Genomic DNA, 21269 nt, shown 5'->3' with positions numbered 1-21269 from the left:
CCACTCCACCTCTGGGTAGGATGACCTCCAGAGGCAGGCGGGCTGCACCCTTGGCCCAAAGTCCACAATTCCCAGGGCCAACCACCAGGTGCGGGCCAGAGCTCAGCCTTGACCCAACCCCATTGAAGCCACGCTGCCCACACCAGGCTCAAGGAGGCACCAGTGGGACAGCCCATTGCACAACAGGGTTGGTCCCATCAGGGCAATGGGTGGGGCCTGACCCTTGAATCTTGGCCTGAATCCATAAACTCGATCACCCACACCCTGCTGCCATCCCGCCACCCCCAGCAAGCCTCAAGGATGGAGAGTTCCTGCTTAACACCTGTGGCCTCCGGAGATCCTGTGGAACCCCTCATGTTGCCTGGGAGTCCTCAAGCCCTCACCCGTGCACCGAGTCTCAGCTAGAAGCTGTACTGCATTGGGTTGAATGGACCCTTTCCTGCCTGGACCATCGTCACCCCTGCACAGCTTCAGGGAAGGCATCCTTCTTGGAACCAGTTTCTATGGAAGACATCCTCCTGGAGAAACCATCCCTCCCAGTGGGGATTCAGGTCAGCTCCCTGAGGAAACCCACATGGCCTAAAGGTGACCTCCGGCAACCGTACGCACCCTGGCTCATGGACCAGGACACCAGCAGGATGTACTCACCTATGCCCATCAAGACCAGGGGGACCACCTGGGCAGAAGAGCTCACTGAAAGACACAGGGGAGAACGGGTACTCAGGGACAAGCTGACAGTATGTCCCATCCCCGGAGAACGGGAAGGCCAACACCAAGTCCACACAGCGAATGTGGGTTGCCTCACGGACAAGCACAGAGACAGGTTTCAGCAGCCCTCAGACACCCTTCAGGGCCTCAAGGACTCCAGCCAAAAATTCAGTGGCCTGGCTGGGGATCTCAGGATCCGAGAATCCTCTTCCAAAATTCTAACCTAGGCCGGGCCTCAGCATAATCCTTTTGAGAATGATTTTTAAGTCATCACCTCTCTTCAGGACAATATAAGGTTCTCATCATCGACCCAACCCAGGGCACCTCCCTACCCGCCCATGCATCCAGCAGTCCCCGAATGGACTCACCAAGCTCAGTGCAGGAGACTAGGGCAACAGGAAGGGCCTGAGCTTCAGCACACCAGGGGCTGGATGCCAGGCTGACGAACACTGACGTGGGGCCAGTGGCCCCAATACAAGTCCTCCTCCAGGGCCACCATCTGGGGGGACAGGAGGAGGACATATGTCCAACCAGGGGCTCATGTGGGAAAGGGAGCAAGGGGTGCCTGTTCACACATGCTCTCCCTCCATGGACCCATGTGATGGGATCCAGGTGAAACAGTGACGGTAATGGACCCAGGGAAACCTTGGCTCTCCCCACCACCGAACCCTACAAGCCTGACCACATGGGCCTGATTGCCCACCTCTCTCCGGGGATGGAGAGCCCCACTCATAATCCCCGTGGCACCCTGGAGCCCTTGTTGCCCCACTCATGTGGCCCGGGCAGTCCTCAAGGTCAGACGCAGGCACGGAATGTCAGCAGGGAGCTGCCCCACATGAGACTGAAGGAAAACTTTCCAGCCTGGACCACCATCACCCCTGCAGGGCTTCAGCAAAGGTGTCCTCCTGGGGTCAGATTCCCTAGGAAGCCACCCTCCTGGAGGACTAACACATCCCTCCACGGTGGGGATTCAGGTTGGCTCCCCGAGGAAATCTTCCTGTCCTGAAGGCTGACCCTCAGTCACTCCATGTGGTCTGGCTCATGGCCCATGAACCCAGCAGGATCCACTTACCTATGCTGGTCAATGCCAGGGGACCCGCCTGAGCAGAAGAGCTCACTGAAAGAATCAAGGGGAGAACAATGGTTCAGAAGGAACCAGCAACCTGAACCGCCCCCAGAAAACCAGAGTGCCAACACCAAGCCCACACAGAGAGCCTGGGCTGCCTCACAGAGGAGTATAGGGACAGGGCTGGGCCCCCCAGATACCCTTCAGGGCCTCCAGGTCTCCAGCCAAAAATAAAGGGGCTCTCCTGGGGACCTCAGGATCCCAGCATCCTCTTCCAAAATTCTAACCTAGGCCGGGCCTCAGCATAATCCTTTTGAGAATGATTTTTAAGTCATCACCTCTCTTCAGGACAATATAAGGTTCTCATCATCGACCCAACCCAGGGCACCTCCCTCCCGACCCATGCATCCAGCAGTATCCGAATGGGCTCACCAAGCTCAGTGCAGGAGACTAGGGCACAAGGAAGGGCCTGAGCTTCAGCACACCAGGGGCTGGACGCCGGGATGACGGACACTGATGTGGGGCCAGCGGCCCCAGTACAAGTCCTCCTCCAGCGCTGCCATCTGGGGGTACAGGAGGAGGACATATGTCCAACCAGGGGCTCATGCCTCCAGGTGGGGAAGAGGGTGGGGGTGGGGGGTACCAGTTCACTCATGCTCTCCCTCCGTGGACCCATTTGATGGGACCCATGGGAAACACTCACGTGTCACAGACACAGGGGACCCTTGGCCCTTCCTGCTAGGGAACCCCGTGAGGACACGGCAGGCGGGTCACTACACTCGGGCAAGACACCCAGGCTGCACCCTAAAGCAGGCCTCCAGAGCAGCTCCACTGCCCACACTGGCTGTCCCACACAACCCCAGGGCTGCACCTGAACCCCTGGGAAAGGGCTAGGGCCACCAGCAGCTCACGGACAACGAAGTAGACAGGCCCAGACACCACATGCCGCCGCTAACCTGACAGTTGCACAGCCTGACCCTGGGCATGGAGGAGGCCCAGGACCGTCTCCAAGCATGCACTGAGAAATTGCAGCCTGGGGCCCGAGGGCCATGTGTTGTCTCTGGTGGGTCCCTATCCATGCCCCACACAACACCTCCCACACAGAGAGCAGGGCCACACTCAGCTAATTGAGGGAAACACAGTGTCCTCTCCTTTCCTTGGGCCCAAGACCCTGCCACTCTGGAGGCGACCCCATGGCTCAGAAGCAGCCTGGATGGCAAATTTCCAGGACAGTTCCTTCCACAGCGGGCCTTCCCACTTCAGGAGGATGCCCTTCCACCACTCGCCCACAAGGAAGAGGTGACCCCCAGCGGGACACAGGCTGCACCCTGGGCCCACAGCCCACTAATCTCAGGGCCGGACTGCACCACCATCAGGTGCTGGCCGGAGCTAGTCTCGACCCAACCTCAGGCAAACAGCGGCACCCCACACCAGGTTCAAAGTGGCACCCCTGGGATGCCCCAATGCTTAACAGGGTCGGTTCCATTCAGGGCCATGGGTGTGGTGTGATCTTTGAATCTGGGGCCCGATCCCATGGGCCGAATCGCCCACCACTCTTTGGGGTCGCAGAGACCCTGCGAAGCCCCTGTTGTGCCCCAGAGCCCTTGTGGCCCCCCTCATGTGGCCTGGTCATCCTAGAGGCCTAACCCAACCACCGAGTCTCTGCTGGGCGCTGCCCTGCCTGGGGCTGAGGGAACCCTTTCTTGCCTGCACAACTGGCACCCCTGCAGGGCTTCAGAGAAGGCATCTTACTTGGCTCAGATTCACAAGGAAGCTGCCCTCCTGGAGAACCCATCCCAGGTGGGGATTCAGGTCGCCTCCTGAGGAAACCCTCATGGCTCAAATGCTGACCCTCGGCAACCCTATGGTCTGGCTCATGGCCCATGACCCAAGCAGGAGACACTCACCTATGCCGATCAATGCCAGGGAGTCTTCTGGGCAAAAGAGCTCACTGAAAGACACAGGGGAGAACAGGGGCTCAGGAAGGAGCAGCCAAAATGCCCCGCCTCCAGGAAAGCAGAGTGCCGACACCAAGCCTACAGAGGGAGCTTGGGCTGCCTCACAGGGGAGTGAAGAGACAGGGTTGGGCCCCCACGAGGTGCCCTGCAGGGCTTCCAGGTCTCCACCCCAAATTATAGTGGCCCTGCCAGGGACCTCATTGATTTCCAGTGTCCTCTTCCAAAATTGTCACCTAGGGTGGGCCTCAGCATAATCCTTTTGAGAATGATTTTTAAGTCATCACCTCTCTTCAGGACAATATAAGGTTCTCATCATCGACCCAACCCAGGGCACCTCCCTCCCCACCCATGCATCCAGCAGTACCCAAATGGGCTCACCAAGCTCAGTGCAGGAAACTAGGGCACCAGGAAGGGCATGAGCTTCAGCACACCAGGGGCTGGACACCAGGCTGACGGATACTGGCCCAGGGCCATTGGGCCCAACACAATTCTTCCTCCCATTTCACAGTCTAGGGGAACAGGAGTAGGACAGCTGTCCAAACACAACCTCACTCCTGTATGTGAGCAGAAGGTGGGGTGTGGCAGTTCAAGTATGCTTGCCCTCCATGGACCCATGTGATCGTTTGCATGCGGAACACTGGCCCATCACGGACACAGGGTACCCAGTGCTCTCTTAGCCACAGAACTCTGGAAGGACAGGGCAGGCTGGTCACTGGGCCCCTGCTGGCTCCCCCACACGACCCGGGGTCACCCCAGAACTACTAGGCACAGGCCAGGGCCACCAACTCATTCGCAGGAAACCAAGGAAGCTGGCCTAGATGTCAGATGCCGCTACAGCCCTGGCAGTCACATAGCCTATCTCTGTGCATAGTGGGTGCCCACCCAGATGCCCTATCCCAGCACATAATGGAAATTGCAACCTGGGGTCTAAGGGCCACAGTTTTCTCTGGTGGGTCTGCATCCATGCCCCACACACCTCCTGAACACAGAGCAGGGCTACAATCAGCTAATCAGGGGACACACGGCATCTTCTGTCCCTGGGCCCAAGATCCGCTACCCTGGAGGTGACCCCATGACTCAGAAGCAGCATGGGCAGCATATTCCAAAGACAAGACCCTAGATAGCAGGCCTTGCAACCTCAGGAGGCAACCATTCCCGACACTTGCCCCTTGGGAAGGGATGACTTCCAGCCACGGGGAAGGGGGGACTTCCAGGGGGAGCAGGCTGACCCCTTGGCCCAAAGCCAACGAGTCCATGGCCAGACCTCAGCACCACCAGGCACCGGCCAGAGTCCAGCCTTGACTCAAACATAGGGAAACAGCACCGCCCCGCTCAAGGCTCGATGAGGCCCATAGAATGGCTCATTACTCAACAGGGTCTGTCCCATTCAGGGCCATACATTGGGCGCAATCCTTAAATCTCCACAGCTCGACTCCATGGGCCCTATCATCCATCTTTCTCCATGAATGGAGAGCTCCTATGTGACCCCCATGGTGTCCCAGAGTCCCTGTTGGCCCCTCAGGTGGCCTGGGCAGTCCTCAAGGCCAGACTCGAACACCTAGACTCAGCTGGGAGCTACTATGTGTGAGACTGAAGGAACCCTCTCCTGCCTGGACCACCGTCATCACTGCAGGGCTCCAGGGAAGGCGTCCCCCTTGGGTCCGATTTCTCAGGAAGCCACCCTTCTGGAGGACCAACCTATCCCTCCCTGGTGGGGATTCAGGTTCGCTCCCTGAGGAAACTCTCCTGTCCCGAAGGCTGACCCTCAGTGACTCTACCCAGCCTGGCCCATGGCCCACGATGGCAGCAGGATCCACTCACCTATGCTGGTGAATGCCAGGGTGCCCCGCCTGGGTTGAAGAGCTCACTGAAAGACACAAGTGGAGCAGGGGGGCTCAAGGAGGAGCTGTCCACGTGCCCCGCCCCAAGGAACTGGACCACCAACAGCAAGCCCACACAGGGAGGCTGGGCTGCCTCACGGAGGAGCACAGAGACAGGGCTGGGCCCCCCAGATGCCCTTCAGGGCCTCCAGGGCTCCAGCCCAAAATAAATAAATAAAGTCCCCTACTGGGACTTTGGGATCCCAGCATCCTCTTCCAAATTCTCACCTAGGCTGGGCCTCAGCGTAATCCTATTGAGCATGATTTTTAAGTCATCACCTCTCTTCAGGATAATATAAGGTTCTCATCATTGACCCAAACCAGGGCACCCCCCGCCCCATGCATGCATCCAGAGGGACCCAGATGTGCTCACCTCAGCTCAGTGTAGGAAACCAGGACAACAGGTAGGTCCCGCGCTTCAGCACACCAGGGTGGGCACCTGGCTGATGGCCACTGGCCTGGGTCCATTGGGCCCAATGCAAGTCTTCCTCCAGGCTCACCATCTGGGGGGACAGGAAGAGGACATGTGTCCAAACAGAGCCTCATACTTCCATGTGGGGAAGGGGTAAGGGATACCCATGTGATGGGGTCCATGAGGAACACTGACCTAGCATGGACGTGGGGCACGTTTGGCCTTCCCTGTCAGCAAACCCTGAAAACACAGGGTAGGTGGGTCACTGGGTTCAGGCAAGAAACCTGGGCTGCACCCTACTGAAGGCCTTGATAGCATCTCCACTGTCCATGCTGGCTGCCCCACACGATCCCAGAGCCACTCCGGGACCACAGGGCACAGGCCAGGGGAACCAATCAGCTCATGGCCAACCAAGGAGAATGGCCCAGAAGCCATGCGCCACTGTGGAGATGGAAGTTGCATAGCCTGCCCCAGGGCGTGGTGGGCACCTGCCTAGGTGCTATTTGCAAGCCACACCTGAAATCGAAGCCTGGAGTCCCCGGGCCACGTGCTTTCTCTGGCGGGTCCCTATCCATGCCCCGCACATGTCCCAAACACAGAGTCAGGCCACCCTTGGCCAACCGTGGGCTACATAGTGTCCTCTTTTTTCTTAGCCCCAAGACTCCGCCACCCTGGAGGTGACCCCATGGCTCAGAAGCAGCCTGGGTGGTAAATTCCTGGGACAGGACCATCAACAGCAGGTCTTTCCACCTCAGGATCCAGCCAATCACCAATAGGCAAGGGGTGACCTCCAGGAGGACAGGGCTGCCGAATGGACCAACGCCCACAAGAACCTGGGCTGGCCTGCAGCATCACCAGGCGCTGGCCAGAGCTCAGCCTTGACCCAAACCCAGGGAAACAGCCCCGCCCCCCACCAGGCTCAAAGAGGCCCCACTGAGATGGCCCATTACTCAACATGGTCGGTCGCATTTAGGGCCACGGTTGGGATGCGATCCTTGAATCTCTGCAGCCTGACCCCATGGGCTCATTCGAGCACCCCACTCCAGGGAAAGAGAGCTCTCGTGTGACCCCTGTGGCACCCCAGAGCCCCTGTGGCCTCCTTCATGTGGCCTGGGCCATCCTTGAGGCCAGACTCGCACACTGAGTCTCAGCTGGGAGCTGCCTTCAATGGGACTGAGGGGACCCTTTCCTGTCTGGACAACTGTTACCCCTGTAAGGCTTCAGGGAAGGCATTGTCTTGGGTCTGATTCCCAAGGAAGCCAGCCTCCTGGAGAAACTGTCCCAACCTGGTGGGGATTCAGGTCGGCTCCCTGAGGAAACCCACGTGGCCTAAAGAGTGACCTTTGGTGACCCTACGCAGCTTGGCTCATGGCCCATGATGCCAGCAGAATCCACTCACCTATGCGCATCAGTGTCAGGGAGCCCACCTGGGCTGAAGAGCTCACTGAAAGACAGAAGACACAAAGGGAGAACAGGGGCTCAGGAAGGACCCAGCAAGCTGCCCTACCACAGGGAACCAGAGTGCAGACACCAAGCCCACAAAGGGAGCCTGGGCTGCCTCACATGTAATGTGGAGACAGGGTAGAGTCCCCCCCGAGATGCTGTTCAGGGCCCGGAGGTCTCCAGTCCAAAATACAGTGCCCATGACAGGGACCTAGAAATCCCAGCATCCTCTTCCAAAATTCTCACCTAGGCTGGGCCTCAGCGTAATCCTATTGAGCATGATTTTTAAGTCATCACCTCTCTTCAGAACATATAAGGTTCTCATCATCGACCCAACCCAGGACACCACCACCCCACAACGCATGCATGCATCCATTGGGACCCAGATGTGCTCACCACAGCTCAGTGCAGGAGACCAGGGCATCAGGAAGGGCCTGAGCTTCAGATTACCAGGGGCTAAGCACCTGGCTGAGGGACATTTTCCCGGGGCCAGTGGGCCCAGTGCAATTCTTCCTCCAGGGTCAGCATCTGGAGGGGTGGGGGACAGGTGTCCAAACAGGGCCTTGTGCCTCCATAGGGCAAAGTGGGTAGGGTGTGCTGGCTCACACATGCTCTCCCACCATGGACTCATGAGATGAGATCCATGTAAAACAGTGACAGTCATGCACACGAGGAACCCTTGGCCCTCCCTGCCACTCAACCCTGGAAGGATAGGGCAGGTGGGTCATGGGATTCCAGCAAGACGCCCAGGCTGCACCCTACTGTAGGACCCTGGAGCACCTCGACTGCCCACGCCAGCTCCCCCACATGACTCTGGGCTGCAATGAGACCACTAGGCAGGGCCTGGGCCACCAACCAGCTCATGGCAAACCAAGGAGGCTGGCCCGGACCCCATGTGCCACTGCAGACCTGGCAGTCACATAACCCGCCACTGGGCATGGAATGCACCCATCCATGCACCCTTTATAAGCTCACACCAGAAATACCATCCTGGGGCCCCAGGGCCATGTGCCTTCTCTGGTGGGTCCCCATTCAGGCACCGCATACCTCCCAAACACAGAGCTGGGCCATGCTTGGCCAATCAGGGGCCACATAATGTCCTCTCCTTCCCTTTGACAAAGACCCTGTCACCCTGGAGGTGACCCCATGACTCAGAACCAGGCTGCGCAGCAAATTGCCAGCACAGGATCCTTGACCGTGGGTCTCCCACCACAGGATGCCACCCTTCCGGCCACTCCACTTCAGGTAGGAGTGACCTCAAGCGGGACGCAGGCTGCACCCTTGGCCCAAAGCCCATGATTCCCAGGGCCAACCACAAGGTGACAGGCAGAGCTCAGCCTTGACCCAACCCCACTGAGGCAGCGCCACCCCCACCAGGCTCAAGGTGCCACCACCAGGATGGCCATTGCTCAACAGGGTCGGTCCCATTCAGGGCCATGGGTGGTTCCCGACCCTTGAATGTTCACGGCCTGACTCCGTAAGCCAGATCACCCACACCCAACCCCTCTGCAAGCCTCGGGGACAGAGGGCTCCCGTATAAGACTCCTGGCCACGGAGACCCTGTGGATGCCCTCATGTGGCCTGGGCAGTCCTCCAGGACTCACCTGTGCACCAAGTCTCAGCTAGGATCTGCACTGCGTTGGGTTGAAAGAACCCTCTCTTGCCTGGACCTCTGTTACCCCTGCAAGGTTTCAGGGAAGGTGTCCTTCTTGGGACTGATTTCCAAGGAAACCTGCTTCCCAGAGAAACCATTCATCCCTGGTGGGGATTCAGGTCGGCTCCCTTAGGAAACCCTCATGACCCGAAAGGTGACGCTCAGGGACCCCACCCCGGCCTGGCTCATGGCCCATGACCCCAGCAGGATCCATTCACCCGAGACTCCCGCCACCACAGAGGTGACGCCATAGCTCAGAAGCAGCCAAGACAGCAAATTTCTGAGACAGGGTCTTCCACAGCAGGCCTTCCCACCTCAGGAGGACATGCTTCCCGCCACCTGTCCACAATGAAGGGGTGACCCCAATGGGACATGGGCTGTACCCATGTCCCAAAGCCCACCAATCCCAGGGCAGGATTGCACCACCATCAGGTGCCAGCCAGAGCTAGTCTTGACTCACCCTTAGGAAACAGTGCCACCCCACACTTGGCTCAAAGAGGCACCACTGGGATGGCCCATAACTTATTAGGGTTTGTCCCATTCAGGGCCATGGGTTTGGTGCAATCCTTGAAAATCCACAGCCTGACCTCATGGGCTGAATTACACACACCTCTCCAAGGTTGAAGAGCCCCTGCAAGAACCCCTTGGTGCCCCAGAGCCCTTGTGGCCCCTCTCATGTGGCCTGGCCATCCTAAAGGCCTGACCAGAGCACTGAGTCTTAGTGGGGCACTGCCCTGCATGAGGTTGAGAAAACCCTTTACTGCCTGGACCACTGCAACCCCTGCAGGGCTTCAGGGAAGGTATCTTCCTTGGGTATGATTTCCAAGGAAGCCACTCTTCTGGAGAACCCATCCCAGGTGGGCATTCGGGTCAGCTCCTGAGGAAACTCTTATGGCTGAAGGCTGATGCTTGGTGACCCCACACAGCCTGGCTCATGGGCCATTACCCCAGCAGGATCCACTCACCTATGCTGGTCACTGCCAGGGAGGCTGCTGGGCAGAAGAGCTCACTGAAAGACACAGGGGAGATTGGGGGCTCAGAAAGGAGATGCCAAAATGCCCCACCCCCGGGTAACAGGAGTGCCAACACCAAGCCCACATAGTGAGCCTGGGCTGCCTCACGGAGGAGCGCAGAGACAGGGTTGGGCACCCTCCAGATGCCCTCAGAGCCTCCAGGTCTCCAGCCCAAAATACAGTGGTTCTGCCAGGGAACTCATAATTCCCAGCATCCTCTTCCAAAATTCTCACCTAGGCTGGGCCTCAGCGTAATCCTATTGAGCATGATTTTTAAGTCATCACCTCTCTTCAGACAATATAAGTTTCTCATCATCGACCCAACCCAGGGCAACCCCCTCCCCGCACAGGCATCACAGGAACCCAGATGGGCTCACCACAGCTCAGTGCAGGAGACCAGTGCAGGAGGGCTTGGGTAAGATGCCCTGGCTGTGCCATACAGCAGGCCCCTGGAGCACCTCCACTGCTCACACTGGCCCCACTGCATGACTCTGGACCACAACGGAAACCCTGGGCAGGGTCCAAGGTCACCAACCAGCTCACAGCCAACCAAGGATGCTGGCCTGGATGCCAGGCACTGCTGCCAATCTGGCAGTCCCACAACCTGCCCCTGTTTGGAGAGAATGCCTGCCCAGGATCCTTCTCCAAGCACGCACCAGAAATCACAGCCTGGGCCCAGGGCCACGTGCTTTGTCTGGTGGGTCCTCATCCACACCCCAGACCCCTGTCAAACACAGAGCTGGGCCACACTGAGCCAATCAGGAGCCACATGGTGCCCTCTCCTTTCCTTGGGCCCAAGACCCCGCCACCCGGAAGTGACCACATGGCTCAGAAGCAGCCTGGGCAACAAATTCCCAGGACAGGTCCCTCATGAGGGGGCTTTCCAACCTCGGGACGTGACCCTTCCCGCCACTGACCTCGAAGAAGGGGTGACCCCCAGCAGCAGGCGGGCTGCACCCTTGACCCAAAGCCCATGAGTCCCAGGGTTGGCCTGCGGCACCACAAAGCACCAGTCATGGCTCAGCCTTGACCCAACCAGTTGAAGCTGAGCCGCCACCCACCAGGCTCAAAAAGGAGCTACTGGTGTGACCCATTGCTCAACAGGGTCATTTGCATTCAGGGCCATGAGCAGGGCACGATCCTTGAATCTCCGCAGCCCCACCCCATGGGCCCGATCGCCCACCCATTTCCAGGGACGGAGAGCCCCTGAGTGATCCCTGTGGTATCCGGGAGCCTCTGTTGTCCCACTCATTTGTCCTGGGCAGTCCTCAAGGACAGACTCTCACACCAAGTGTCAGCTGGGAGCTGCCCTGCATGAGACTGAAGGAACCCTTTCCAGACTGGACCACCGTCACCCCTGCAGGGCTTCAGGGAAGGCATCGTCTTGGGTCTGATTTCCCAGGAAGCTGCCCTCCTAGAGGACAAACCCATCTCTCCACAGGTGAGGATTAAGGTCGACTCCCTGAGGAAACCCTCCTGTCCTGAAGGCTAATACTTGGTGACCCCATGCAGCCTGGTGCACGGCCCACGACCCCAGCAGGATCCACTCACCGATGCTAGTCAATGCCAGGGGGCCCACCTGTGGGGAAGAGCTCACTGAAAGACACAGGAGAGAATGGGGGTCAGGGAGGAGCTACCCATGTGCCCCACCCCCAGGGAACAGGAAGGCCATCACCAAGCCTACATGGGGAGCCAGGGCTGCCTCATGGAGGAGCACAGAGACAGGGTTGGGCCTCCCAGATGCCCTTCAGGGCTTCCAGGTCTCCAGCCCAAAATACAATTGGCTCTACCAGGGGACCTCAGGATCCCAGCATCCTCTTCCAAAACTCTCACCTAGACTGGGCCTCAGCGTAATCCTATTGAGCATGATTTTTAAGTCATCACCTCTCTTCAGGATAATATAAGGTTCTCATCATCGACCCAACTCAGGGCACGTCCTTCCCGGCGCATGCATCCAGCAGGACCCGGATGTGCTCATCACAGCTCGGTGCAGCACACCAGGGTGCCAGGAAGTGCCCAATCTTCAGTGCACCAGGGGCTCAGCACCTAGCTGATGGATGCTGGCCTGGGACCATTGGGACCAATTCAAGTCTTCCTCCAGGCTCAATACCTGGGGAAACAGGAGTAGGACAGGCGTCCACACACAACCTCACCCCTCCATGGAGGCAGAAGGTGGGGTGTGGCGGCTCAGGGATGCTTGCCGTCCATGGATCCACGTGATGGGATCCATGCAGAACACTGGCTTGTCACAGACACAAGTCACCCTGTACTCTCAACCACTGAACCCTGGAAGGACAGGGCAGGTGGGTCACTGGGCTCGGGCAAGAAGACCTGGCTGTGTCCTACCGCAGGTCCCACGAGCACCTCCACTGCCCATGCCGGCTCCCTCGCATGACCCCAGGATTACGACAGAGCTACTGGGCACAGGCCAGGGCCACCAACCAGTTCATGGCCAACCAAGGAGGCTGGCCCGGATGCCAGATGCCGCTGCAAAGCTGGCAGTCACATAGCCTGCCCCGGTGCATTGTGGGCACCCATCCAGGTGCCCTATCCCAGCATGAACTGGAAATCACAACCTGGAGTCCCAGGGCCACATGCTTTCTCTGGTGGGTCCCCATCCATGCCCCACACACCTCCTAAACACAGAGCAGGGCCACACTTGGCTAATCAGGGGACACATGGTGACTTCTTTCCTTTGGCCCAATACCCACTATCCTGGAGGTGACCCTATGGCTCAGAAGCAGTGTGGGTGGCATATTCCAGGGACAAGACCCTCAACAGCAGGCCTTCCACCTCAGGAGGCCACCCTTCCTCACACTTGCCAATGGGGAAGGGGTGACTTCCAGCCACAGGGAAGGGGAGATCCCCAGCAGGACGTGGACTGATCCCTTGGCCTAAAGCTAACAAGTCCGTGGCTGGACTGTAGCACCACCAGGCACTGGCCAGAGCTCAGCCTTGACCAAAACCTAGGGAAACAGCAACACCCCATCCAGGCCCAAAGAGGTACCATAGGATGGATGGCACATTGCTCAACAGGGTCGGTCCCATTCAGGGCTATAAATCCTGTGTGATCCTTAAATATCTGCAGCTCAACTCCATGGGCTCTATGCCCACCTTTCTCCAGGGATGGGGAGCTCTTGTGTGACCCCATGGCATCCCAAAGCCCCTGTGGCCCCCCTCACGTGGCCTGGTCAGTCCTCGAGGCCAGACCAGTGCACTGAGACTCAGCTGGGAGCTGCCCTGCATGAGATTGAAGGAAACTTTTCCTGCCTGGACCACCGTCATCACTGCAGGGCTGCAGGAAAGATATCATCCTTGGGTCCGATTCCCAAAAAAACAGCCCTCTTGGAGGACCAACCTACCCTTCCATGGTGTGGATTCAGGTCAGCTGCCTGTGGAAACCCTCCTGTCTCAAAGGCTGACTCTTGGTGACCCCACACTGCATGACTGATGACCCATGACCCCAGCGGGACCACTCACCTATGCTGGTCAATGCCAGGGGGTTGCACCTGGGTGGAAGAGCTCACTGAAAGACACAAGGGGAGAATGGGGGTTCACAGAACCGGAGCACTAACACCAAGCCCACACAGGGAGCCTGGGCTGCCTCACAGAGGAGCACGGAGAAGGGGTTGGGCCCCCACGAGATGCTGCTGTTCAGGGCCTCAAGGTCTCCAGCCCAAAATACATTGGTCATTCCAGGGAACTCCGGATCCCAGCACCTTCTTCCAAAATTCTCACCTAGGCTGGGCCTCAGCGTAATCCTATTGAGCATGATTTTTAAGTCATCACCTCTCTTCAGGACAATATAAGGTTCTCATCATCGACCCAACCCAGGGCATCACCCTCCACTGCCCCGCAACCCATGCATCCAGTGGGACCCAGATAGGCTCACCGCAGCTCAGTGCAGCAGACCAGGGTGCCAGGAAGGGCCTGAGCTTCAGCTCACCAGGGGCTGAGCCCAGAGCCAGTGGGCCCAACGCAAGTCTTCCTCTGGGGTCACCATCTGGAAGGGTGGGGGACAGGTGTCCAAACAAGGCCTCATGCCTCCATGCAGGAAAGTGGGCAGGGGGTGCTGGCTCACACATGCTCTCCCTCCATGGACTCATGAGATGAGATCCATGTAAAACAGTGATGGTCATTTACGCGAGGAACCCTTGGCCACTGAACCCTGGAAGGACGGGGCAGGAGGGTCACAGGGTTCGAGCAAAACGCCCAGGCTGCACCCTAGTGCAGGACCCTGGAGCACCTCCACTGCCCACGCCAAATCCCCTGCTCGAATCTGGGCTGCATCAGGACCACTGGGCAGGGCCATGGGCACCAAATAGCTCACAGCAAATCAAGGAGGCTGGCCTGGATGCCACGTACCACTGCAGACCTGGCAGTCACATGGCCTGCCCCTGGGCATTAAATGAACCCATCCAGGCACCCTTTATAAGCACACACCAGAAATCACATCCTGGGGCCCCAGGGCCACATGCCTTCTCTGGTGGGTCCCCATTCATGCACCGCACACCTCCTAAACACAGAGCTGGGCCACGCTCGGCCAATCAGAGGACACATGATGTCCTCAACTTTCCTTTGGCTCAAGACCCTGCTACCCTGGAGGTGACTCCATGGCTCAGAAGTAGCCTGGGCATCAAATTGCCAGGACAGGACCCTTAACGGTGGGTCTTCCACCACAGGATGCCACCCTTCCATCCACTCCACTTCCGGTAGGGATGAACTCCAGTGGGACACAGGCTGAACCCTTGGCCCAAAGCCCACGATTCCCAGGGCCAAACACCAGGTGCTGGCCAGAGCTCAGCCTTGATCCAAGCCCACTGAGGCCGCACTGCCCCCACCAGGCTCAAGGAGGCACCAGTGGGATAGCCCATTGCTCAACAGGGTCGGTCCCATCAGGGCCATGGGTTGGGCCCAATCCTTGAATCTTCACGGCCTGACTGCATAAGCTCGATCACCGACATCCTACCCCCCTGCAAGCCTTGGGGACGGAGAGCTCCTGCATAACACCCGTGGCCCCCAGAGACCCAGTGGACCCCTCATGTGGCCTGGGCAGTGCTCCACACCTGACCCATGCACCAAGTGCACGTTGCTCAACAGGGTCAGTCCCATTTAGGTCAATAAGTCCTGTGCGATCCTTAAATCTCTGCAACTCAACTCCACGGGCCCTATGCCCACCTTTCTCCAGGGAGGGGGAGCATCAAGGCAACAAGCTGCTGCACTGTATTGGGTTGAAGGAACTCTCTGCTGCCTGGGCCTCCATTACCCCTGCAGGGTTTCAGGGAAGGCGTCCTTCTTGGGATCAATTAACAAGGAAGCTGCCCTTCCGGAGAAACCATCCATCTCTGGTGGGGATTCAGGTCAGCTCCCTAAGGAAACCCTCGTGGCCTGAAAGGTGACCCTCAGCGACCCCCCGTGGCCTGGCTCTTGGCCCGTGACCCCAGCAAGATCCACTCACCTATGCCGCTCAAGGGCAGGGGCCCGCCTGGGTAGAAGAGCTCACTGAAAGACACAGAGAAGAACGGGGGCTCAGGGAGGAGCCGTCGATGTGCTCCACCCCCAGGGAACCAGAATGCCAACACCAAGCCTGCACAAGGAGCCTTGGCTGCCACACAGAGGAGTGCAGAGACTGGGTTGGGCACCCCGAAGGTGTCCTTCAGGGCCTCAAGGACTCCAGCCCAAAATACAGTGGCCCTTCCAGGGGACTTCGGATCTCAGCATCCTCTTCCAGAATTCTCACCTAAGCTGGGCCTCAGCGTAATCCTATTGAGCATGATTTTTAAGTCATCACCTCTCTTCAGGACAATATAAGGTTCTCATCATTGACCCAACTCAGGGCACGCCCTCCATCCCCACGCATGCATCCATCGGGACCCGGATGTGCTCACCGCAGCTCCGTGCAGGAGACCAGGGCGCCAGGAAGAGCCTGAGCTTCACCACACCAAGGGCTGGGCACCTGACTGATGACCACTCACCCCGGGACAGCGGGCCCAATGAAAGTTTTCTTCCAGTCTCACTATCTGGGGGACAGGAGGTGGACATGTGTCCAAATGGAACCTCACGCCTCCATGCAGGAAGGGGGTGGGGGATGCTAGCTCACGATTGCTCTCCCACCATGGACCCATGTGATGGGATCCATGTGAAACACTGATGTGTCATGGACACAGGGGAACTTTGGCCCTCTGCACCACTGAACCCTGGAAGGACAGGGCAGGTAGGTCACTGGGCTCAGGCAAGACGCCCTGGCTATGCCCTACTGCAGGCACCTTGAGCACCTCCACTACCCACTCCAGTTGCCTCACATGACCCCAGGGCTGTACTGGCCCCTGGGTGTCAGCCAGGGCCACCTACCGTCTCACGGCCAACCAAGGAGGCTGGCCTGGATGCCACGTACTGCTGCCAATCTGGCAGTAGCACAGCCTGCCCCTGTGTGTGGAGGGCAAGCACCCAGGCCCTGCTCCACACCACACCGGAAATTGCAGCCTGGGGACCCAGGGCCTCGTGTGTTCTCTGATATGTCCCCATCCATGCCTCACACAACACCTCCCACACACAGAGTGGGGCCACACTCAGCCAATCGGGAGACACATGGTGTCTTCTCCTTTCCTTGACCCCACCACCCTGTAGGTGACCCCATAGCTTGGAAGCAGCCTGGACAGGTCCTTCCACAGCAGGCCTTCTCACCTCAGGAGGACACCCTGTCCGCCACTTGCCCACAAGGAAGGTGTGGCCCCTGGTGGGACATGGGCTATACCCTTGGCCCAAAGCCCACGAGTCCCAGGGCCAGACTGCAGCACCATCATGGGGTCACCAGAGCTAGTCTTGACCCAACCTCATGGAAACAGTGCCACCCCACACTTGGCTCAAAGAGGCACCACTGGGATGGCCCATAGCTTAATAGGGTCGGTCCCATTCAGGGCCATGGGTTTGGAGAGATCCTTGAAAATCCAAAACCTGACCTCATGGGCCGAATCACACATACCTCTCCAAGGTCGGAGAGCCCCCATAAGACCCCCTTGGCGCCCCAGTGCCCTTGTGGTTCCCCTCATGTGGACGGGCCATCCTAGAGGCCTGACTTAAGCACCGAGTTTCAGCTGGGTGCTGCCCTGCATGGGGCTGAGGAAACCCTTTACTGCCTGGACCACCACAACCCCTGCAGGGCTTCATGGAAGGTATCCTCCTTGGGTCCGATTCCTAAGGAAGCTGCCCTCCTGGAGAACCCATCCCAGGTGGGCATTCGGGTCAGTTCCTGAGGAAACCCTTGCAGCCAAAGGCTGATGCTCGGCAACCCCACACAGCCTGGCTCATGACCCATGACCCCAGCAGGATCCACTCACCTATGCTGGTCAATGCCAGGGGGTCTGCCGGGCAAAAGAGGTCACTGAAAGACACAGGGGAGAATGGGGGCTCAGGGAGGAGATGCCAAAGTACCCCACCCTTGGGTAACAGGAGCGCCGACACCAAGCCCACAGAGTGAGCCTGGGCTGCCTCATGGAGGAGTGCAGAGACAGGGTTGGGCACCCTCCAGATGCCCTCAGAGCCTCCAGGTCTCTAGCTCAAAATACAGTGGACTTCACAGGGAACTTGTAATTCCCAGCATCCTCTTCCAAAATTCTCACCTAGGCTGGGCCTCAGCGTAATCCTATTGAGCATGATTTTTAAGTCATCACCTCTCTTCAGACAATATAAGGTTCTCATCATCGACCCAACCCAGGGCACCCCCCACCACACACACCCATCCAGTGGGACCCGGATGTGCTCACCACAGCTCAGTGCAGGAGACCAGAGCACCAGGAAGGGCCTGAGCTTCAGTGCACCAAGGCTGGGCACCTGGATGACAACCACTGGCCTGGGGCCAGCAACCCAATGGCAAGTCTTCCTCCACAGACACCATCTGGGGGGACAGGAGGAAGACATGTGTCCAACCAGGGGCTCAGACCTCTATACAGGGAAGGGGGTGGGGGGTGTCAGCTCACGCTTGCTCTCTCTCTATGGACCCATGTGATGAGATCCATGTGAAACACTGATGTGTCTCAGACGTGGGGGACCCTTTGCCCTCCCAGCCACCGAACCATGGAAGGACAGGGCCGGCAGGATCCTGGGCTCAGGCAAGACCCCCGGGCTGTGCCCTACTGCAGGCCTCCCTTGCCCACGCTGGCTCCCCTCATGACCCCAAGCAGCACTGGGACCCCTGGGCAGGCGTCAAGGACACCAACCAGCTCACAGCGAACCAAGGACGCTGGCCCGGATGCCACGCACCACTGCCAACTTGGCAGCTGCACAGCCTGCCCTGTGCATGGAGGGTGAGCACCCAGTCCCCTTCCCAAGGTGCACTGGAAATTGCAGCTTGGGGTTCCAGTGCCACGAGCTTTCTCTGGTGGGTCCCAATCCATGCCCCACACAACACCTCCCACACACAGAGTGGAGCCATACTCAACCAATCGGGAGACATATGGTGTCTTCTCCTTTCCTTGGGCCCAAGACCCCGCCACCCCGGAGATGACCTCATGGCTCAGAAGCAGTCTGGACTGCAAATTTCCAGGAAAGTTCCTTCCACAGCGGGCCTTCCTACCTCAGGAGGATACCCTTCCCACCACTCCCTCATAAGGAAGGGGTGATCCCCAGTAGGACACGGGCTGCACCCTTGGCCCAAAGCCCACGAGTCCCAGGACTGGACTGCACCACCATCAGGCACTGGCCGGAGCTAGTCTTGACCCAACCTCAGAGAAACAGCGCCACCCACCACATGGCTCAAAGAGGTGCCACTGGGATGGCCCATTGCTTAATAGGGTCGGTCCCATTGAGGGATATGGGTTTGGTGCAATCCTTGAAGCTCCATGACCCGACCCAATGGGCCAAATTGCCCACCCTTCTCCAGGGTTGGAGAGCCCCCATGAGATGTCTGTGGTGCCCTGGAGCCCTTGTGGCCCCCGTCATGTGGCCTGGCCATCCTAGAGGCCTGACCTGAGCACCAAGTCTGAGCTGAGCACTGCCCAGCTCCACTGTCCTGTGTGGAGCTGAGGAAACCCTTTCCTGCCTGGACCACCACCACCCCTGCAGGGCTCCAGAGAAGGCCTCCTCCTTGTGTCAGATTCCCAAGGAAGCTGCCCTCCTGGAGAACACATCCCCAGTCAGGATTCAGATCAGCTCCTGAGGAAACCCAGGTGACCCGAGGGCTGACCCTTGGGGACCCCACGCAGCTTGGCTCACAGCCCATGACACGAGCAGTATCCACTCACCTTTGCCAGTCAATCCCAGGGGGCCTGCTGGGGGGAAGAGCTCACTGAAAGACACAGAGGAGAATGCGACTCAGGAAGGAGCCACCAATGTGTCCCACCCCCGGGGAAGCTGAGTGCAGACACCAAGCCCACACAGGAAGCCTGGTGTGCCTAATGGAGGAGCACAGACTGGGTTGGGTACCCCTCCATGATATGCCCTTCAGGGCCTCGAGGTCTCCCGCCTAAAATACAGTGGTCCTGCCGGGGACCTTGTGATTCCCAGCATCCTCTTTCAAAATTCTCACCTAAGTTGGGCCTCAGCGTAATCCTATTGAGCATGATTTTTAAGTCATCACCTCTCTTCAGGACAATATAAGGTTCTCATCATCGACCCAACCCAGGACACCCCCATCCCCACTCACACATCCAGAGGGACCTGGATGGACTCACCACACCTCAGTGCAGGATACCAGGATGACAGGAAGGACCTGAGCTTTAGCGCACGGGAGGCTGAGCACGTGGCTGGCAGACACTGGTCCGGGGCCAAAGGGCCTAACGCAATTCTTCCTCTGTGCTCACCATCTGGAGGGACGGGGAAAGGTGTCCAAATAGGGCCTTAAGATTCCATGCAGGAAAGCGGGGAGGGGCTGCTGGCTACACATGCTCTACATCCGTGGACTCATGTGATGGGATCCATGTGAAACGAGGACAGTTATGGACCTGGGGAACCCTTGTATCTCCCCACCACCAAACCCTGGAAGGACAGGACAGGCGAGTAACTAGGCTCAGGCAAGATGCCGAGGCTGTGCCCTACCGCAGGCCCCTGGAGCACCTCCACTGTCCAAGCCGGCTTCCCTGCACTTCCTGGGCTGCATTGTGACCCCTGGGTAGGAGCCAGGGCCACCAACCAGCTAAGGCCAACCAAGGAAGCTTGCTCTGAAGCTAGGCGCCACTGTAGACCTGGCAGACGCACAGCCTGCCCCTGTGCAGGGAGGGTGCCCAGACTCCCTCTCCAAGCACGCACCAAAAATCACAGCCTGGGGCCACCTTCATGTGGCTTGGGCAGTCCTCAAGGCCAGACCCTAGCACCAAGTCTCAGCTGGGAGCTGACCTGCATGGGACTAATGGAACCCTTTCCTGCCTGGACCAATGTCACTCCTGTAGCACTTCAGGGAAGGTGTCCTCCTTGGGTCAGATTCCCAAGGAGGCGGCCCTTCTGGAGAACCAATCCCTCACCAGTGGGGATTCAGGTTGTCTCCCTGAGGAATCCCTCCTGTCCTGATAGCTGACCCTCAGTGACCCCACGTGGCCTGGTCCATGGCCCATGACCCCAGTAGGATCCACTGACCTATGCTGCTCAAGGCCAGGGGTCCTCCTGGGCAAACGAGTTCACTGAAAGACACAAGGGGAGAACAGGGGCTCAGGGATGAGCCACCCACATGCACCACCAAGGGGAATCTGAGCACCGACACGAAGCTCGCACAGGGAGCCTGGACTGCCTCATGGAGGAACGTAGAGACAGGTTTGGGCCCCCTCCAGATGCCCTTCAAGGACTCCAGGTCTCCAGCCCAAAATACAGTGGCCCTGTCAGGGACCTAGGGATCCCAGCGTCCTCTTCCAAAATTCTCACCTAGGCTGGGCCTCAGCGTAATCCTATTGAGCATGATTTTTAAGTCATCATCTCTCTTCAGAACAATGTAAGGTTCTCATCATTGACCCAACCCAGGGAACCCCCCTCCCTGCTTAGGCATCCAGTGGCAACCGGATGGGCTCACCCAAGCTCAATGCAGGAGACCAGGGCAACAGGAAGGGCCTGAGCTTCAGTGCAACAGGGGCTAGGCACCCGGCTGATGGCCACTGGCCCGGGGACAGTGGGCCCAATGCAAGTCCTCCTCTGGGGTCACCATCTCGAGGAAC

At 58.6% G+C, this 21269-nt stretch overlaps 1 long non-coding RNA gene and 12 other non-coding genes across 13 annotated transcripts in view; all 13 read right to left on the bottom strand.

The window, feature by feature from the left end:
* Nucleotides 1-21269, bottom strand: part of SNHG14 (small nucleolar RNA host gene 14) — a 595855-nt gene that overhangs the window by 214086 nt on the left and 360500 nt on the right. Inside the window, exons 78-98 of the long non-coding RNA NR_146177.1 lie at nucleotides 19803-19934; nucleotides 19374-19417; nucleotides 17898-18028; nucleotides 17472-17515; nucleotides 16023-16154; nucleotides 15593-15636; nucleotides 14027-14137; nucleotides 13615-13660; nucleotides 11968-12244; nucleotides 11686-11730; nucleotides 10087-10130; nucleotides 7864-7995; nucleotides 7424-7468; nucleotides 5986-6115; nucleotides 5554-5599; nucleotides 4111-4241; nucleotides 3682-3725; nucleotides 2207-2337; nucleotides 1781-1825; nucleotides 1077-1207; nucleotides 649-693 (exon numbers count right to left, since the gene is read on the bottom strand). This is a non-coding gene — a long non-coding RNA (small nucleolar RNA host gene 14). The remainder of the gene's footprint in view (nucleotides 1-648; nucleotides 694-1076; nucleotides 1208-1780; nucleotides 1826-2206; nucleotides 2338-3681; nucleotides 3726-4110; nucleotides 4242-5553; nucleotides 5600-5985; nucleotides 6116-7423; nucleotides 7469-7863; nucleotides 7996-10086; nucleotides 10131-11685; nucleotides 11731-11967; nucleotides 12245-13614; nucleotides 13661-14026; nucleotides 14138-15592; nucleotides 15637-16022; nucleotides 16155-17471; nucleotides 17516-17897; nucleotides 18029-19373; nucleotides 19418-19802; nucleotides 19935-21269) is intronic.
* Nucleotides 939-1020, bottom strand: SNORD115-19 (small nucleolar RNA, C/D box 115-19). The gene has a single exon (NR_003311.1). It is a non-coding gene; the product is annotated as a small nucleolar RNA, C/D box 115-19 (small nucleolar RNA).
* SNORD115-18 (small nucleolar RNA, C/D box 115-18) lies at nucleotides 2069-2150 on the bottom strand. Its single transcript, NR_003310.1, has one exon. It is a non-coding gene; the product is annotated as a small nucleolar RNA, C/D box 115-18 (small nucleolar RNA).
* On the bottom strand, nucleotides 3973-4054 carry SNORD115-17 (small nucleolar RNA, C/D box 115-17). Its single transcript, NR_003309.1, has one exon. It is a non-coding gene; the product is annotated as a small nucleolar RNA, C/D box 115-17 (small nucleolar RNA).
* Nucleotides 5848-5929, bottom strand: SNORD115-16 (small nucleolar RNA, C/D box 115-16). The gene has a single exon (NR_003308.1). It is a non-coding gene; the product is annotated as a small nucleolar RNA, C/D box 115-16 (small nucleolar RNA).
* SNORD115-15 (small nucleolar RNA, C/D box 115-15) lies at nucleotides 7721-7801 on the bottom strand. The gene has a single exon (NR_003307.1). It is a non-coding gene; the product is annotated as a small nucleolar RNA, C/D box 115-15 (small nucleolar RNA).
* SNORD115-14 (small nucleolar RNA, C/D box 115-14) lies at nucleotides 10376-10456 on the bottom strand. The gene has a single exon (NR_003306.1). It is a non-coding gene; the product is annotated as a small nucleolar RNA, C/D box 115-14 (small nucleolar RNA).
* Nucleotides 11975-12056, bottom strand: SNORD115-13 (small nucleolar RNA, C/D box 115-13). Its single transcript, NR_003305.1, has one exon. It is a non-coding gene; the product is annotated as a small nucleolar RNA, C/D box 115-13 (small nucleolar RNA).
* On the bottom strand, nucleotides 13880-13961 carry SNORD115-12 (small nucleolar RNA, C/D box 115-12). The gene has a single exon (NR_003304.1). It is a non-coding gene; the product is annotated as a small nucleolar RNA, C/D box 115-12 (small nucleolar RNA).
* On the bottom strand, nucleotides 15882-15963 carry SNORD115-11 (small nucleolar RNA, C/D box 115-11). Its single transcript, NR_003303.1, has one exon. It is a non-coding gene; the product is annotated as a small nucleolar RNA, C/D box 115-11 (small nucleolar RNA).
* On the bottom strand, nucleotides 17761-17841 carry SNORD115-10 (small nucleolar RNA, C/D box 115-10). Its single transcript, NR_003302.1, has one exon. It is a non-coding gene; the product is annotated as a small nucleolar RNA, C/D box 115-10 (small nucleolar RNA).
* Nucleotides 19665-19746, bottom strand: SNORD115-9 (small nucleolar RNA, C/D box 115-9). The gene has a single exon (NR_003301.1). It is a non-coding gene; the product is annotated as a small nucleolar RNA, C/D box 115-9 (small nucleolar RNA).
* Nucleotides 20990-21071, bottom strand: SNORD115-8 (small nucleolar RNA, C/D box 115-8). Its single transcript, NR_003300.1, has one exon. It is a non-coding gene; the product is annotated as a small nucleolar RNA, C/D box 115-8 (small nucleolar RNA).

Source organism: Homo sapiens, chromosome 15 (assembly GCF_000001405.40).
Source record: "Homo sapiens chromosome 15, GRCh38.p14 Primary Assembly".
In the NCBI taxonomy this organism is placed as follows: domain Eukaryota; kingdom Metazoa; phylum Chordata; class Mammalia; order Primates; family Hominidae; genus Homo; species Homo sapiens.
The sequence above is the reverse complement of the archived record's forward strand: the minus strand, read 5'-3'. Positions and strand labels throughout refer to the sequence as shown.